General features: G+C 38.4%; 1 long non-coding RNA gene and 2 pseudogenes across 1 annotated transcript; all 3 read left to right on the forward strand.

Annotated features, from left to right (window-relative positions):
* The first annotated feature begins 329 nt into the window (after positions 1 to 329).
* Positions 330 to 2438, forward strand: LOC105376332 (uncharacterized). Its single transcript, XR_001746986.1, has 2 exons — positions 330 to 686; positions 2184 to 2438. It is a non-coding gene; the product is annotated as an uncharacterized LOC105376332 (long non-coding RNA).
* A 1593-nt stretch (positions 2439 to 4031) lies between these two features.
* On the forward strand, positions 4032 to 6040 carry OR4F8BP (olfactory receptor family 4 subfamily F member 8B pseudogene; annotated as a pseudogene).
* On the forward strand, positions 16009 to 16515 carry WBP1LP9 (WBP1L pseudogene 9; annotated as a pseudogene).

A 17082-nucleotide genomic window follows, 5' to 3' on the forward strand; every position in this document is an offset into this window, starting at 1 on the left:
ACTTATGTAGGTAGGCCTCAGATTATAATAAATAACGTTTATTGTGCTATACTGTGTGGTAGGTATGAGGTTAAGTATTTTTACCTATATTATATCACTTATTTCTTACAAATGGAGCAAGGGAGCAAGCAAGCAAGGGAGGTATTATTATCCCTATTTTATGTATTTATGTATTTATTTTTGATTTCTATTCTTTTGGTTTTTTTGTTGTTTTTTATTGATGTATCATAGTTGTACATGTTTTGGGGTACATGTGATATTTTTGATACATGTATACAATGTGTAATGATCAAATCAGAGTAATTTGGATATTCATCACCTCGAATATTTATCTTTTCTTTGTGTTGGGAACATTATAATTTTTCTCTGCTAGCTATTTTAGAATATATAATAAATTATTGTTCCCTATGATTTCTCCATTGTATAATTGAATACTAAAATTTATTATGTCTATCTACATATCCCCAGTTCAATAACTATAATTTCTCTGCTGTGCAATCAAATACTAGAACTTCTTCCTTCGAACGCTATATCCCTAATTCAATAACAAGTAAACTGAAGCTCAGCATGGTCTAGGAACTTTGTTACATTAACACAGCAAGTGAGTGTTGCAGCCTGGATCCAAAAATCAGGCCTGGTCGACCTCAAAGTCCAGATTATTGACCTTTCTACCATAATGTATGGAGGTAAGTTTGTGAATTTATTCAAAAATCAGGCCTGGTCAAACTCAAAGTCCAAATTATTAACCTTTCTACCATAATGTATGGAGCTAAGTTTGTGAATTTTCATAGTTTTAGGATTTGAAGATAAAAGAGGTGAAAATTTGGAAATGGTTTCTGGACTTTTGAATTTTGGCAAACAGCTATGTGATAAGTCCACCCTGCAGACCCACAACTTTTGGAAATAACTCTACTGTGATCTTCAGTAGCAGAAGCTGCTCCTGGGGTGGTAGAACACAAGGAAAACACACACTAGTAAAAATTTCATGTGCCTTCTTTGTTCTGTACATGTGTTTCTCTTGATTAGTATATGGTAGTATCCTCAAATCATAGTAACAAGTATACTTTTTCCAGTGAATTGCATGTGTATATTATTGTATAGTATAAAAGGCAATATTTCCATTTATTATCATCTGTGCTTTTCAAAGAAACTCTGTGAGTCCAACAGGGCGATAATAGAAGCAACTGCCCTTTCTCTCCCCCTTTAAATGCAACCCAATGTCAAAGTCCGTAGCATCCCCAAATGAGTGTATTAAAGGTGAGAAATTCCCAAAGTCAAACTCAGTAGCATCCTTGAATGAGTGTATTAAAGGTGATAAATTTATTTTATTTATGTTCTTTTTAACCTGTGTTCTCAGAAACAGAGACTACTGTATTTCATCCTACCTTAGTCTTGCTTAGCAGTTTCTCTTCTCCTTTGAGGCTCTTTTATTTTTAAATCATTGTTCATATCTTCTAATCTCCCCTTTCTCCCATTCTTCCCATATTTTTAATCTTTTTTTAACTTTATCTCTGTTCTACTTTTTCTGTATTTCAAATTGATCCATAGACTTTAGAAAAATGAGTTGAATGCTGGCTGTAGGCTGTCTTATCCCCAGCAAGAAACATGTTGTAAAGTCTTAGTACCTTCCCACTGGAAGATCATTAGTCATGGCTACTATGTTTTTAAATGAGAATTGTTTTAATTATGCATTTTAAAATTATTGGAAAACATGAGGGAGAGGAATGAACCATAAGTAATAAAGATTATTGACTTGAAGTTAAGACCTTACTATGATCTGGGATTATTAGTCTTACTTGTCAATCAAGAACTATCCACTTTCTATTCGTTTGTGGGTATCTAATATGGTTATATACACAGAAGTAATGATAATTGATATGAAAAGGTCTCCTCCTGTTATATCAATTTAGGTATTTTTCACACATTGTATACCTCATTCTTCTCCTATTCAATTTTCACTAATTCCTAAAGGGTCAGGTCAATGTCCTTGGCATAACCTCCTCCACCTGTTCTTAATGGCAATCGTCTCTTCTGCCCTCCAATATCTATAACACTTTTTTCTTTAAAACTCTTTGAATGTTTATCTTAATACTCATTTGATATATATTGTATACCACATATGATTGTTTGTTATATGTACAATACATGTTTTTTCAACTTTTTTTGGTTCTTTCTATTTACAGGAATTAGAGAAAGAACAAATCAGTGTGAAGGAGAATTGTCAGTAAAATTACAAGAAAAGATTGAGATCATAATTGACCTTTGAGGATAATAAAATTTAAAGACCAAAAGGATGGACTTCACAGAAACATGACCTTAGGTTGTTTTTGCAGTTGTAGTAACTGGTTATATGACCAACAAAATATGAAGAATGGGTACAAATTCTGATAGTAATGATCAGTCACTTTGCAAATATAAAGTTACTATTTACTACTGTATTGTACAGGTTCAATAATCTTTGTGTACACATTTTATGTATTTATTGTCAGGCTGCTATATAATTCAGTATTTATAATAGATACTATGTATAGCAATCTATGGTTAGTTTTGGTCTTAACCAGGAAAAATCACTCTTTTGAGTTTTGCTGTTTTTACTAGATTATTTTTACTGGATGATTGCTCATATTATTTGATTATTATTGCAATTTGTCTTTCTGGAATAGGAAGCAAGAGGCCTGAATTCTGGTTCCTATTCTATCAATTGTGTGAATTCTGGAAACTCAGTTTACTTTTCTGGGCCTCATGGTTTTCATCTGAATGATGACCAACTTGGATAAAATGGTCTTTATATAATTTCGTAGGCATTTCCCTTCCCAAGGGCTTGAGTCTTTTTCAACAATTATAGAGTTTTCCGGTCCCTCTTCCCAGTGCCTCAGCACCTTGCTATTCATGTTCATCTGATCAGTTGTTTGCATGCTGACTTACATTACCCTGATGGGCAGTACCTGTGGCTGTTTCTGCTCCCTCACCCAGTCCATAGGCTTCTGGTTGTAAAAGTGTGCATCTTGAGACTGTGGACAGTTAGCTCCAGAGGTGACAGTATAATCACTTCACGTAGAAGAGGATAGAGAGAGACTCATGCCAGTGGTGGTGAGCAAGTATTAGAGATATGATGTGTGCCTCTGTGAGTTTTGGGGTCTAAGATAAATTATGGCACTAGGAAGATGGTCCTTTGTGTCAGAAGAACTGGAGTTGTTGGTGCAAAAAAGTATGATGTCAGCATAGCAGTTTTATTTGTACCTCAGCAACTTCTAAAATAATCTCTATTAAGTGTTTTCAGGAACTACTTTCTACTATAGGAAAATGATTGAGGTGAGTATCCATCTGGACACAGAGAAATATAACACTGTTTTCTGCTCACCCTCCACTTCACATATAAATACAACATGTGTTAAAGGACTAAATTTCTAGTGTCACAGTTTGTACTTTATAGTTTGAAGTCAATAAGAAAGCTCATATACCTTCCTAAAAGTCACTTGTTAATGTTTGATATTAATCTAATTTTATCATAAATTAAAAGTATAAAACTACAAATTTCTTAAAGATAAAATATCCAAATGGATTCAGTCAAATTAAGCATGATAATATCAAATATCAGAATAGGTTACCATGCAGGAGGTACTGAGTACTTAAAAGGATGGGGAATGCAATGAACATAAAAGCTGGTACCAAGGGGAGGAGGAGACAGTGATGAATTAAAACATTATCTTAACTAATCCAAGTGCTGGTCTTCAATACTTTCATGTGTATAGACAAAGAGAAACTGCAGAGATTTCTCACAACCTCTGTGGCCATTTTATGCATCTTAGCAAAAACTCTGGTGAAATCCCTCCAAAACATATTTATTAGGCATGGAAAAAGCCTTACATGACAGGTGGCATAGGCTCCTTATGAAATCACTGCAGGATGGGAAGCCATTTAGGGCTTCGTAATTGTGAAAGATTGTATAGAAACTGAGGCACTTAAATAGCAGTGAGCAGGAGAAAATGTGGTAGATAATGGTGGTGATTCTATTTCTTGTGAAAGTCCACTTACTCTGTTCTGCTACAGTTGTGGGCTTTCCGATTTCACATACCCCAGTCTCTATATTCTGTCTCAATCCACAGCCTACCTCAACTAAGTCCGTCCCAGGCACCTCTTACTGCAGGTGATAATCCATCTGTTAATCATGTTTTCCTCTTATGTCTACTTTCTGTCAGAGAATTGTGGCTGCAAACTGGGAAGGGAAGGAAATTATAAGAATATGTATAAGTACAAATGGAATATGTTGGAAATGAGGAATAGTTAATATCGCAGGTCATTTAAACACCTGATGAATTTCATGGATAGTCAGGAATCTTGTTCTTACCTAATCTGTTAATTTTAGATCAGACATTACACTGAAAGTATTGATGATGGGTTTAAATCAGGTTGCAGCTCACATGTTGTGATAATATTATGTTGATTTTTTGTTTTTAATATGTGAGGAACAGAATAACTGTATACTATTTATTCATAGTGACATTGCAATATTGATTTTAGTACATATTATCTTCATAATCACAATTTCCTCCCCATTTTCTTAGTTCTCATAATTTTAGCCACAGCCCAGTTGGCTGGACCAATGGATGGAGAGAATCACTCAGTGGTATCTGAGTTTTTGTTTCTGGGACTCACTCATTCATGGGAGATCCAGCTCCTCCTCCTAGTGTTTTCCTCTGTGCTCTATGTGGCAAGCATTACTGGAAACATCCTCATTGTGTTTTCTGTGACCACTGACCCTCACTTACACTCCCCCATGTACTTTCTACTGGTCAGTCTCTCCTTCATTGACTTAGGAGCCTGCTCTGTCACTTCTCCCAAGATGATTTATGACCTGTTCAGAAAGCGCAAAGTCATCTCCTTTGGAGGCTGCATCGCTCAAATCTTCTTCATCCACGTCATTGGTGGTGTGGAGATGGTGCTGCTCATAGCCATGGCCTTTGACAGTTATGTGGCCCTATTAAGCCCCTCCACTATCTGACCATTATGAGCCCAAGAATGTGCCTTTCATTTCTGGCTGTTGCCTGGACCCTTGTTGTCAGTCACTCCCTGTTCCAACTGGCATTTCTTGTTAATTTACCCTTCTGTGGCCCTAATGTGTTGGACAGCTTCTACTGTGACCTTCCTCAGCTTCTCAGACTAGCCTGTACCGACACCTACAGATTGCAGTTCATGGTCACTGTTAACAGTGGGTTTATCTGTGTGGGTACTTTCTTCATACTTCTAATCTCCTACGTCTTCATCCTGTTTACTGTTTGGAAACATTCCTCAGGTGGTTCATCCAAGGCCCTTTCCACTCTTTCAGCTCACAGCACAGCGGTCCTTTTGTTCTTTGGTCCACCCATGTTTGTGTATACATGGCCACACCCTAATTCACAGATGGACAAGTTTCTGGCTATTTTTGATGCAGTTCTCACTCCTTTTCTGAATCCAGTTGTCTATACATTCAGGAATAAGGAGATGAAGGCAGCAATAAAGAGAGTATGCAAACAGCTAGTGATTTACAAGAAGATCTCATAAATGATACAATAAGCCCTTCTCGTTAAACATGATATGGCTTTATGTTTCTTTCTTTGATATTTTAGATTCAGGAACTATGAGACATTATGTATTGATTTGAATGTTATTAGACCTGTAACATAATTCTTATCTGATGAATATATGATGAATATATTCCTTGTTCAAAATGAGTCATAAATTCAACACATCTCTACATCTATATTATGCCCATTTAATTTCTTTCAGCAATGTTTTGTAGTTTTTGGTGAACAGGTACTTTATGCATATGTACTTTATATTTATCTCTAAGTTTTATATTTCTGATGCCCTTTTAAGTGACATTTTTATTTCAATTTACAATTGTTTATTCTTAGCTTATGGGCACATAATAGATCTTTGTTTGACATTATATCCTGTAAACTTGCAAAACTTATTAGTTCCATCAGTTTTTTATAGGTTATGTAGGATTTTCTTTATAGATGATTATGTTGTCAGTGAATAAAGACATTTGCTTTTAAAATTCTAGTATGAATTCACTATATTCATTTTGTTGAATGCTGAGTAGAATTAGTTAGAGCAGACATCTTTGACTTGTTCCTGTTATGAAATATATTAAATATTTCATCATTAAGTATAATGTTAGCTATAATTTTTTTCATAGGTACTCTTTAACAGGCTGAGAAAGTTTTCTGTATTCACAGTTTGCTGAAAATTTCTTTTATCTTTAGTCAGGAATGGATCTTGGATTTTGTAAAGCTTTTTCATTTCAGAATCAGGGTAATGCTGGCCCTTTAGAATGAGTTGGGAAGCATCTGCTCTTCTTAAATTTTCTGCCATAATTTTGTAGAATTCATATAATTTTTTTCTTTAAAAAGGGAAGTACTTAAGTATTTTTTCCCATAAGTTACCCATAAGTAAATCTAAAGGAAAGTGGGAAACTTTGATACGCATTGGTTGCCCCCTGGTGGAGATTTCTGGGTTCTTGATTATTTTAACACTGGAGATAGAATCTGGTGGAATGATGTCAATGCTACCGTGATTAAGAGGTGTGTAGGAAATGCTTCATGTAAGAGAGAAAATAGTCTTTATGAGAATCTGCCTGGTGGAAAGGAGTTGGTGCAACAATAACAATATAAATTAGTGAAAAATTTTAAATTGACAAATAATAATTGTATCTATGGGGTACAATGTAATGTTTTGATACATGTTTAAATTGTGGAAAGATTAGGTCTATCTTATTGACATACATATCTTTTTTGTGGTGAAAACATTTAAAATCTACTCTGTTAGTCATTTTGAAACATACAATACCTTGTTATTTATTACAGTCACCATTCTGTGCAATAGTTCACTGAAACTTTGTCTAACTGAAACTTTGAACCCTTTTATCAACATCTACCTTTTCCATGTCTACCCCCAACTCCTAGCCTCTGATAATCACCATTCCATTCTCTACTTCTATGAATTCAACTTTTTCAGATTCCACATATCAGTGAGATCATGTGATATTTGTCTTTTCGTGCCTGGCTTATTTCACTTAGCGTGATATCTTCTGGGTTAATTCATGTTGTCACATATATCAGGTTTTCCTTCCTATTAAGGCTGAGTAGTATTCCATTGTATATATACACTACATTTTCTTCATCCATTTGTCAGTTGATAGACACCTGTGTTGATTTCATATTTGGGTATTGTGAATAATGCTGCAATGAACATGAGCCTGGAGATATCTCTTCAGCATATTGACTTAAATTCCTTTGGATATATACAAGGAAGTGGGATTGCTGGATCATATAGTAATTCTAGTTTTAGTTTTTTGAGTAACTTTTATCTATTTTTCATAATAGTATTAATTTACATTTCCACCAACAGTGTACGAGGGTTCCCTTTTCTCTGTATCCTCTTCAACACTTGTTATCTTTTATCATTTTGATAGTAGCCATTCTAACAGGTATGAAGTGGCATCTCACTGTCATTTTAATTTGCATTTCCCTGATAATTAGGATGACAAACTTTTTTTATGTTAGTCATTTGTATTTTTTTTGAGAAATGTCTATTTAGGACCTTGCCCATTTTTTGACTTGGTTATTTGTTTTCTTGATATTGAGTTGAGTCCCTTATATATTTGGAGATTAGCCTTTCATCAGATGTATGCTCTGCAAATATTTTCTCACAACTTGTAGGTTGTCTCTTCACCATATTGTTTCCTTTGCTGTGCAGAAGCTTTTTAGTTTGATGCAATCCCATATATTTTTGCTTTTGTTGCCTGTGCTTTGGGGGTTATATCCAAGAAATCTTTGACCAAACCAACATTGTGGAACTTTTCCCCTATGTTTTCATCTAGTAGTTTTACAGTTTTATGTTTAAACCTTTAATCCATTTTGAATTGATTTTTGTGTATGGTGTGAGATAAGGATACACACCATACACATTCGTGTTCTTCTGCATGTGGATATCTAGTTTTCTTAACACCATTTATTGAAACAAATGTCTATTCTTCATTACGTTTTCTGGGCACCTTTGTCAAAAATTTATTGGTCATAAATGCATGAGTTTATTTCTGGGCTCCTTATTCTGTTCCCCTGGTCAATGTGTCTGTTTTTGTGCAAGTGTCATGTTGTTTTGATTACTATGGTTTTGTGATACGTATTTGTTTTGGGGGGGGATCGATTTTTATTTGGGTTTCTCACAGTGGTTAGAGAACAACCACAGCACAGGAAATGCATCGCCAAGATTGCCCAGAAAACTGACCAGCTGCATCTTATTGCTTAAAAATACACATATTCACAATAACTGACAAATGTTGATGTGCCTCACACAGGAATGTGTTCACATTTGCAATGCTGTGTACAGACTTCACTTCGTTCAACATAGATTTTGGTTTAATGGAATTCAAATGCGGATGCTTGTTCACAGCCTTGGATTTGTCTGTTTTTGGAGAGATACAACCTCCATGAGTATATCTGCATGAAAACCACAGACAATGAAGGTATTTCTTCATTGATTTATTTATTCTTTTGACTGTAGCAACAAACCCTGGATGACACCCTTCCTTTTAATTCACCTGGAAACCAGACTCAATCAAATCTCCCTGGTCCCCTCACTATTCCTTCAAATTCCCTATTTCTATCTCTTCCTGAGGAGGGTAACCTCCTGTAGCAGGGGTCAGACTGTGACTTGGGAATCAAGCCTAGGTCTGCAGGTTGCCTTTTCATCTTCTTGTAAAATATTGTAGGACACTGCAGTGAATCCAACAGTTAACACTCAGAGCAGTTCCCTGCTCTAACTCAGGAAAGAGACTTCAGAGGGTCAGGATTCATCCATTTGATCAGTTAACTGAGAAGGATTCATTTTGGTAAAACTTGTTCAGCTTTGAGACACTTCAGTGAGTTGTTTGAGATTTTTTTTTAAATTATATTTTAAGTTCTGGGGTACATGTGCAGAACATGCAGGATTGTTACATAGGTATACACGTGCCATGGTGGTTTGCTGCACCCATCAACCCATCATCTACATTAGGTATTTAACCCAATGCTAACCTTCCCCTAGCCCCTACCCCCAGACAGGCCCCGGTGTGTTGTGTTCCCCTCCCTCTGTCCATGTGTTCTCATTGTTCAACTCCCATTTATGAGTGAGAACATCGGGTGTTTGGTTTTCTGTTCTTGGATTAGTTTGCTGAGAATGATGGTTTCCAGCTTCATCCATGTCCCTGAAAAGGATATGAACTCATCCTTCTTTATGGCTGCATAGTATTCCATGGTGTATATGTGCCACATTTTCTTTATGCAGTCTATCATTGAATGGGCATTTTGGTTGGTTCCAAGTCTTTGCTATTGTGAACAGTGCCACAATAAACATATGTATGCATGTGTCTTTATGGTAGAATGATTTATAATCCTTTGGATATATACCCAGTAATGCGATTGCTGGGTCAAATCATATTTCTAGTTCTAGAACCTTGAGGAATCACCACACTGTCTTCCACAATGGTTGAACTAATTTACACTCCCACCAACAGTGTAAAAGCATTCTTATTTCTCCACATCCTTTCCAGCATCTGTTGTTTCCTGACTTTTTAATGATCGCCATTCTATCTGGCGTGAGATGGTATCTCATTGTGGTATTGATATGCATTTCTCTGATGACCAGTGATGATGAGCTTTTTTTCATATGTTTGTTGGCTGCATAAATGTCTTCTTTAGAGAAATGTCAGTTCATATCCTTCACCCATTGATGGGTTTGTTTGTTATTTTCTTGTAAATTGTTTAAGTTCTTTGTAGATTCTGGATATTAGCCCTTTGTCAGATGGATAGATTGCAAAAATTTTCACCCATTCTGTAGGTTGCCTGTTCACTCTGATGACAGTTTCTTTTGCTGTGCAGAAGCTCTTTAGTTTAATTAGATCCCATTTGTCTATTTTGGTTTTTGTTGCAATTGCTTTTGGTGTTTTAGTCATGAAGTTTTTGTCCATGCCTATGTACTGAATGGTATTGCCTAGGTTTTCTTCTAGGGTTTTTTATGGTTTTAGATCTTATGTTTAAGTCTTTAATACATCGTGAGCTAATTTTTGTGTAAGGTGTAAGGAAGGGATCCAGTTTCAGTTTTCTGCATATGGCTAGCCAGTTTTCCCAACACCATTTATTAAAAAGGGAATCGTTTCCCCATTGCTTGTTTTTGTCAGGTTTGTCAAAGATCAGATAGTTGTAGATGTGTGGCGTTATTTCTGAGGCCTCTGTTCTGTTCCATTGGTCTACATATCTGTTTTGGTACCAGTACCATGCTGTTTTGGTTACTGAAGGCTTGTAGTATAGTTTGAAGTCAGACAGCGTGATGCCTCCAGATTTGTTCTACTTGCTTAGGACTGTCCTAGCTCTGCGGGCTCATTTTTGGTTCCATATGAAATTTAAAGTAGTTTTTTCCAATTCTGTGAACAAAGTCAGTGGTAGCTTGATGGGGATAGCATTGAGTCTATAAAAACTTTGGGCAGTATGTCCATTTTCATGATATTGATTCTTCCTATCCATGAGCATGGAATGTTTTTCCATTTGTTTGTGTCCTCTCTTATTTCCTTGAGCAGTGGTTTGTAGTTCTCCTTGAAGAGGTCCTTCACATCCCTTGTAAGTTGGATTCCTAGGTATTTTATTCTCATAGTAGCAATTGTGAATGGGAGAGTTCACTCATGATTTGGCTCTCTGTTTGTCTGTTTTTTGCATATAGGAATGCTTGATTTTTGCACATTGATTTTGTATCCTGAGACTTTTCTGAAGTTGCTTATTAGCTTAAGAAGATTTTGGGCTGAGACCATGGGGTTTTCTAAATACACAATCATGTCATCTGCAAACAGAGACAATTTCTTTCTCTTGCCTGATTGCCCTGGCCAGAACTTCCAATACTACGTTGAATAGGAGTGGTGAGATAGGGCATCCTTGTCTTGTGCTGGTTTTCAAAGGGAATGCTTCCAGTTTTTCACCATTCAGTATTGGCTGTGGGTTTTTCATAAATAGGTATTATTATTTTGAGATATGTTCCATCAGTACCTAGTTTATTGAGAGTTTTTAGCATGAAGGGCTGCTGAATTTTGTCGAAGGCCTTTTCTGCATCTATTGAGAGAAGCATGTGGTTTTTGCCATTGGTTCTATTTATATGATGAATTATGTTTATTGATTTGCGTATGTTGAACTAGCCTTGTATCCCAGGGATGAAGCCGACTTGATTGTGGTGGACAAGCTTTTGATGTGCTGCTGGATTTGGTTTGCCAGTATTTTATTGAGGATTTTTGCATCGATGTTCATCAGGGATATTGGCTTGAAATTTTCTTTTTTTTGTGTGTGTCTCTGCCAAATTTTGGTACCAGAATTATTCTGGCCTCATAAAATGAGTTAGGGAGGATTCTCTCTTTTTCTGTTGTTTGGAATAGTTTCAGAAGGAATGGTACCAACTCCTCTTTGTACCTCTGGTAGAATTCGGCTGTGAATCCATCTGGTCCTGGACTGTTTTTTGGTTGGTAGGCTATTAATTACTGCCACAATTTCAGACCTTGTTATTGGTCTATTCAGGGATTCAACTTCTTCCTGGTTTAGTCTTGGGAGGGCGTATGTGTCCAGGAATTTGTCCATTTCTTCTAGATTTTCTAGTTTGTGTAGAGGTGTTTATAGTATTCTCTGATAGTAGTTTGTATTTCTGTGGGATCAGTGGTGGTATCTCCTTTATCATTTTTTATTGCATCTGTTTGATTCTTCTCTGTTTTCTTCTTTATGAGTCTGGCTAGTGGTCTATCTATTTTATTGATATTTTCAAAAAACCAGCTCCTGGATTCATTGATTTTTTTTTGAAGGTTTTTTTGTGTCTCTATCTCCTTCAGTTCTGCTCTGATCTTAGTTATTTATTGTCCTCTGCTAGCTTTTTGTATGCTCCTGCCTCTTGAGTTCTTTTAATTGAGATGTTAGGGTGTCAATTTTAGATCTTTCCTGCTTTCTCTTGTGGGCATTTAGTGCTATAAATTTCCCTCTACACACTACTATAATTGTGTACCAGAGATTCTGGTATGTTATGTCTTTGTTCTCATTGGTTTCAAATAACTTATTTATTTCTGCCTTAATATCTTTATTTACCCAGTAGTTGTTCAGGAGCAGGTTGTTCAGTTTACATGTAGTTGTGTGGGTTTGAGTCAGTTTCTTAATCCTGAGTTCTAATTTAATTGCACTGCGATCTGAGAGACTGTTATGATTCCCATTTTTTTTTGCATTTGCTGAGGAGTGTTTTACTTCCAAATATGTGGTCAATTTTAGAATAAGTGCAATGTGGTGCTGAGAAGAATGTATATTCCGTTGATTTGGGGTGGAGAGTTCTGTAGCTGCCTATTGGATCCACTTGGTCCAGAGCTGAGTTCAAGTCCTGGATATCCTTGTTAACTTTCTGTTTCGTTGATCTGTCTAGTATTGACAGTGGGGTGTTAAAGTCTCCCACTATTATTGTGTGAGGGTCTAAGTCTCTTTTTAAGTCTCTAAGAGCTTACTTTATGCATCTGGGTGCTCCTGTGTTGGGTGCATATATATTTAGGATAATTAGCTCTTCTTGTTGCATTGATCCTTTTACCATTATGCAATGCCCTTATTTGTCTCTTTTGATCTTTGTTGGTTTAAAGTCTGTTTTATCAGAGACTAGGATTGCAACCCCTGCTTTTTTTTGCCTTCCATTTGCTTGGTAAGTATTCCTCCATCCCTTTATTTTGAGCCTATTTGTGTCTTTGCACGTGAGATGGGTCTCCTGAATACAGAACACTGATGGGTCTTGACTCTTTAGCCAATTTGCCAGTCTGTGTTTTTTAATTGGAGCATTTAGCCCATTTACATTTAAGGTTGATATTGTTATGTGTGAATTTGATCCTGTCATTACGATGCTAGCTGGTTATTTTGCTGTTAGTTAATGCAGTTTCTTCATAGTGTCAACGGTCTTTACAATTTGGTATGTTTTTGCAGTGGCTGATACCAGTTGTTCCTTTCCATGTTTAGTGCTTCCTTCAGGAGCTCCTTTAAGGCAGGCCTGGTGGTGACAAAATCTCTCAGCATTTGCTTGTCTGTAAAGGATTTTATTTCTCCTTCACTTATGAAGCTTAGTTTGGCTGGATATGAAATCCTGGGTGGAAAATTCTTTTCTTTAAGAATGTTGAATATTGGCCCCCATTCTCTTCTGGCTTGTAGAGTTTCTGCTGATAGATCTGCTGTTAGTCTGATGGGCTTCCCTTTGTGGGTAACCTGACCTTTCTCTCTGGCTGCCCTTAACATTTTTTCCTTCATTTCAACCTTGCTCAATCTGATGACTATGTGTCTTGGGGTTGCTTTTCTTGAGGAGTGTCTTTGTGATGTTCTCCATATTTCTGAATTTGAATATTGGCCTGCCTTGCTAGGTTAGGGAAGTTCTCCTGGATAATATCCCGAAGAGTGTTTTCTAACTTGGTTCCATTCTCCCCATCACTTTCAGGTACAGCAATCAAACGTAGATTTGGTCGTTTCACATAGTCCCATATTTCTTGGAGGCTTTGTTCATTTCTTTTCATTCTTTTTTCTCTAATCTTGTCTTCTTGATTTATTTCATTAAGTTGATATTCAGTCTCTGATATCTTTCTTCCGCTTGACCGAATCAGTGCTTGATCCTTGTGCATGCTGCATGAAGTTCTCATGGCGTGTTTTTCAGCTCCATCAGGTCATTTATGTTCTTCTCTAAACTGGTTATTCTAGTTAGCAAGTGGTCTAGCCTTTTTTCCAGGTCCTTAGCTTCCTTACATTGGGTTAGGACATGCTCCTTTAGCTTGGAGGAGTTTGTTATTACCTACCTTCTGAAACCTACTTCTCTCAATTCGTCAAACTCATTCTCTGTCCAGTTTTCTTTTGTTCCCTTGCTGGTGAGGAGTTGTGATCCTTTGGAGGAGAAGAGGCGTTCTGGTTTTTGGAATTTTCAGCCTTTTTGCTCTGGTTTCTCTCCATCTTCATGGATTTATCTACCTGTGGTTTCTGATGTTGGTGACCTTCTGATGGGGTCACTGAGTGGCTGTCCTTTTTGTTGATGTTGATGCTATTCCTTTTTGTTTGTTAGTTTTCCTTCTAACAGTCAGGCCCCTCTGCTGCAGGTCTGTTGGGGTTTGCCCTAGGTCTACTCTAGACCCTGTTTGCCTGGGTATCACCAGCAGAGGCTGGAGAACAGCCAAGATTGCTGCCTGTTTCTTCCTCTGGAAGTTTTGTCCCAGAGGGGCACCCACCAGATGCCAGCCAGAGCTCTCCTGTATGAGGTGCCTGTTGGCACCTACTGGGAGGTGTCTCCCAGTCAGGATACACGGGGGTCAGGGACCCACTTGAGGAGGCAGTCTGACCCTTATCAGAGCTCGAATACTGTGCAGGGAGATCTGCTGCTCTCTTCAGAGCCATCAGGCTTTTCAAAGATGCTTTAAGTCTGCTGAAGCTGTGCCCACAGCCGCCCTTTCCCCTAGGTGCTCTGTTCCAGGGAGATGGGGGTTTTATCTATAGGTCTCTGACTGGGGCTGCTGCCCTTTTTTCAGAGATGCCTTGCCCAGAGAGGAGAAATCTAGAGAGGCAGTCTGGCTGCTGTGGCCTTGCTGAGTTGTGGTGGGCTCCACCCAGTTCAAACTTTCTGGTGGCTTTGTTTACACAGTGGGGGTAAAACTGCCTACTCAAGCCTTGGCAATGTGGAAGCCCCTCCCCCCACCAAGCTCTAGTGTCCTAGGTCAACCTCAGACTGCTGTGCAAGAATTTCAAGCCAGTGGATCTTAGCTTGCTGGGCTCTGTAGGGGTGGGACCCGCCGAGCCAGACCACTTGGCTCCCTGGCTTCAGCCCCCTTTCCAGGAGAGAGAATGGTTCTGTCTTGTTGGCATTCCAGTTGCCACTGTGGCATGAAAAAAAAAAAACCTCCTGCAGCTAGCTCGGTGTCTGCCCAAACAGCTGCCTAGTTTTGTGCTTGAAACCTAGGGCCTTGGTGGCAGAGGCACTGGAGGGAATCTCCTGGTCTGTGGATTGTGAAGACCATGAGAAAAGCATAGTTTCTGGGTGGAGTGCACCGTTCCTCATGGTACAGTCCCTCGGGGCTTCCCTTGGCTAGGGGAGGGAATTCCCCCAACCCCTTGCACTTCCTGGGTGAGGCAACACCCCATTCTGCTTTGGCTCACCCTCCGTGGGCTGCACCCACTGTCCAACCAGTCCCAGTGAGATGAACCAGGTACCTCAGTTGGAAATGCAGAAATCACCTGCATTCTGCATTGATCTCACTGGGAGCTGCAGACTGGAGCTGTTCCTATTTGGCCATGTTGCCAGCAAATTCTGAGATTTTTTTCAAAAGTGCAAAGAAAGACATCTGAGGGGTGCTGACATATTCGGGTCACCTCAAGCCACATGCCAGCTTGCTTGCCCCTGTTGGATTCAGCAGAGGGAGATAGGCCTTGCCATACCTGTGGTGTCTGCCAAAGCTTCCTCCTGGCAATTCTTGGGAGTGCTGATACCTGGGCCACAGTTAGTCCAAGTTTATCACTGAAGATCCTATCAAAGTTTTGTCTGAAATTCCACTTTTGCCTTTTGTCCTAAGTGGTTGTGGACATCTCCAGGGGCTGATACCAAGGACTAGGAACAGCTGAGGGAGGCAGAAAGGTTCAGAGTACATCTCTATTTACAGGGAACAGAACACCGGCCTCCGAGAGTCCATGGAGCAATGGGAAAATTGCAGTGATTACTCATCACTGTGAAACTTCTACTTTGAATACAGTATCTTCTGGCAAGCATAGGGGACTGCAGTCGACAATGCTGCTGAATATACCTGAGTACATAGTAAGACATTTGTTTGGTAAACAGTCAATGCATACAATAAATTACCTTGAGAGGGCCATCTGTGCTCCAGATGTGAGAGTTCATGTGAATAGAATGGCTGCAATTCAAAGAATCTTCACAGGAAAACAGGGCTCAGAGCTCATCCACAATGGACAGACAGGGAGGGAAACAGGTGGAGGTTAGTTCACCACTTCCTCATAAGAAGGTAATAAATAGTTTGGTGAAATAAAATGGTAGCACTGAGTAATTGCGGGCTTCTGGATAGGCAGTCAGGTTGATTTCATGTTGCTACTGCTGGACTTGAGGGCTGGCTTGGCTGTGGTGGCAGACACAGCAGCAGCTCAGGATGATGGTGATGGTCCACGCCAGCCAGAACCACCAATGTTCATAGTAGTAGTTACAACACTGAGACTGCCCATAGCAGTGTCCTGTTGTGTCACAGATGTAGCTTTGATTGTTGGTACACACACAGGCTTCCTTATCCTGTGGGGGTTCAGCCCTGGCTGACACAGGGCTGGGCAGTGCCTAGAGGTGCAAGAGCTCCATGCCACCCAGGAGTCTTCCCTCCATACTCCTCCTGCTCCTCCGACCCAGCGTGGGCACCTCCCTCCACCCTTGCTGCACTTCTCCTCTACCCTCTTCTTCCTTCTTTTGTTCTTTTCCTGTAATATGTTTTGAAGTCAGATTGTGAGGCCTTCAGCTTTGTTCTTATTGCTCAAGAGTCCTTTAGTTATTCAGGATCCTTTGTGGTTCCATATAAATTTTCAAATTGTTTTTTCTATTTCTGTGAAGAATGACATTGAAATTTTGATAAATATTGCATTAAACCTATAAATCGCTTTGGGCAGTAAGGACATTTTAAGAATATTAATTCTTCCTACCCATGAACATAAAATATCTTTCCATGTATTTGTGTCATCTACAATTTTTCATCAATGTTTTATAGTGTTCAGAATACAGATCTTTCACCTCCTTGGTTAAATGTACTCCTAAGTACAATCCTAAATGTGCTCCTAAACAAAAAAAATACGTTTTTTTTGATGCTACTGTGAATGAGATTGATTTCTTTATTTTTGTCATATAGTTTGTTGTGAGTGTAAAGAAACTACTGAGTTTTGTACATTGATTTTGAATTCTGAAATTTTATTGAATTCATTTATCATTTCTAATAGCTTTTTGGTGGAGTTTTTAGGGTTTCCTATATATAATATGTCATCAAACAGAGACAATTTT

The sequence above is a fragment of the Homo sapiens genome, chromosome 9 (assembly GCF_000001405.40).
Source record: "Homo sapiens chromosome 9, GRCh38.p14 Primary Assembly".
NCBI classification, from domain to species: domain Eukaryota; kingdom Metazoa; phylum Chordata; class Mammalia; order Primates; family Hominidae; genus Homo; species Homo sapiens.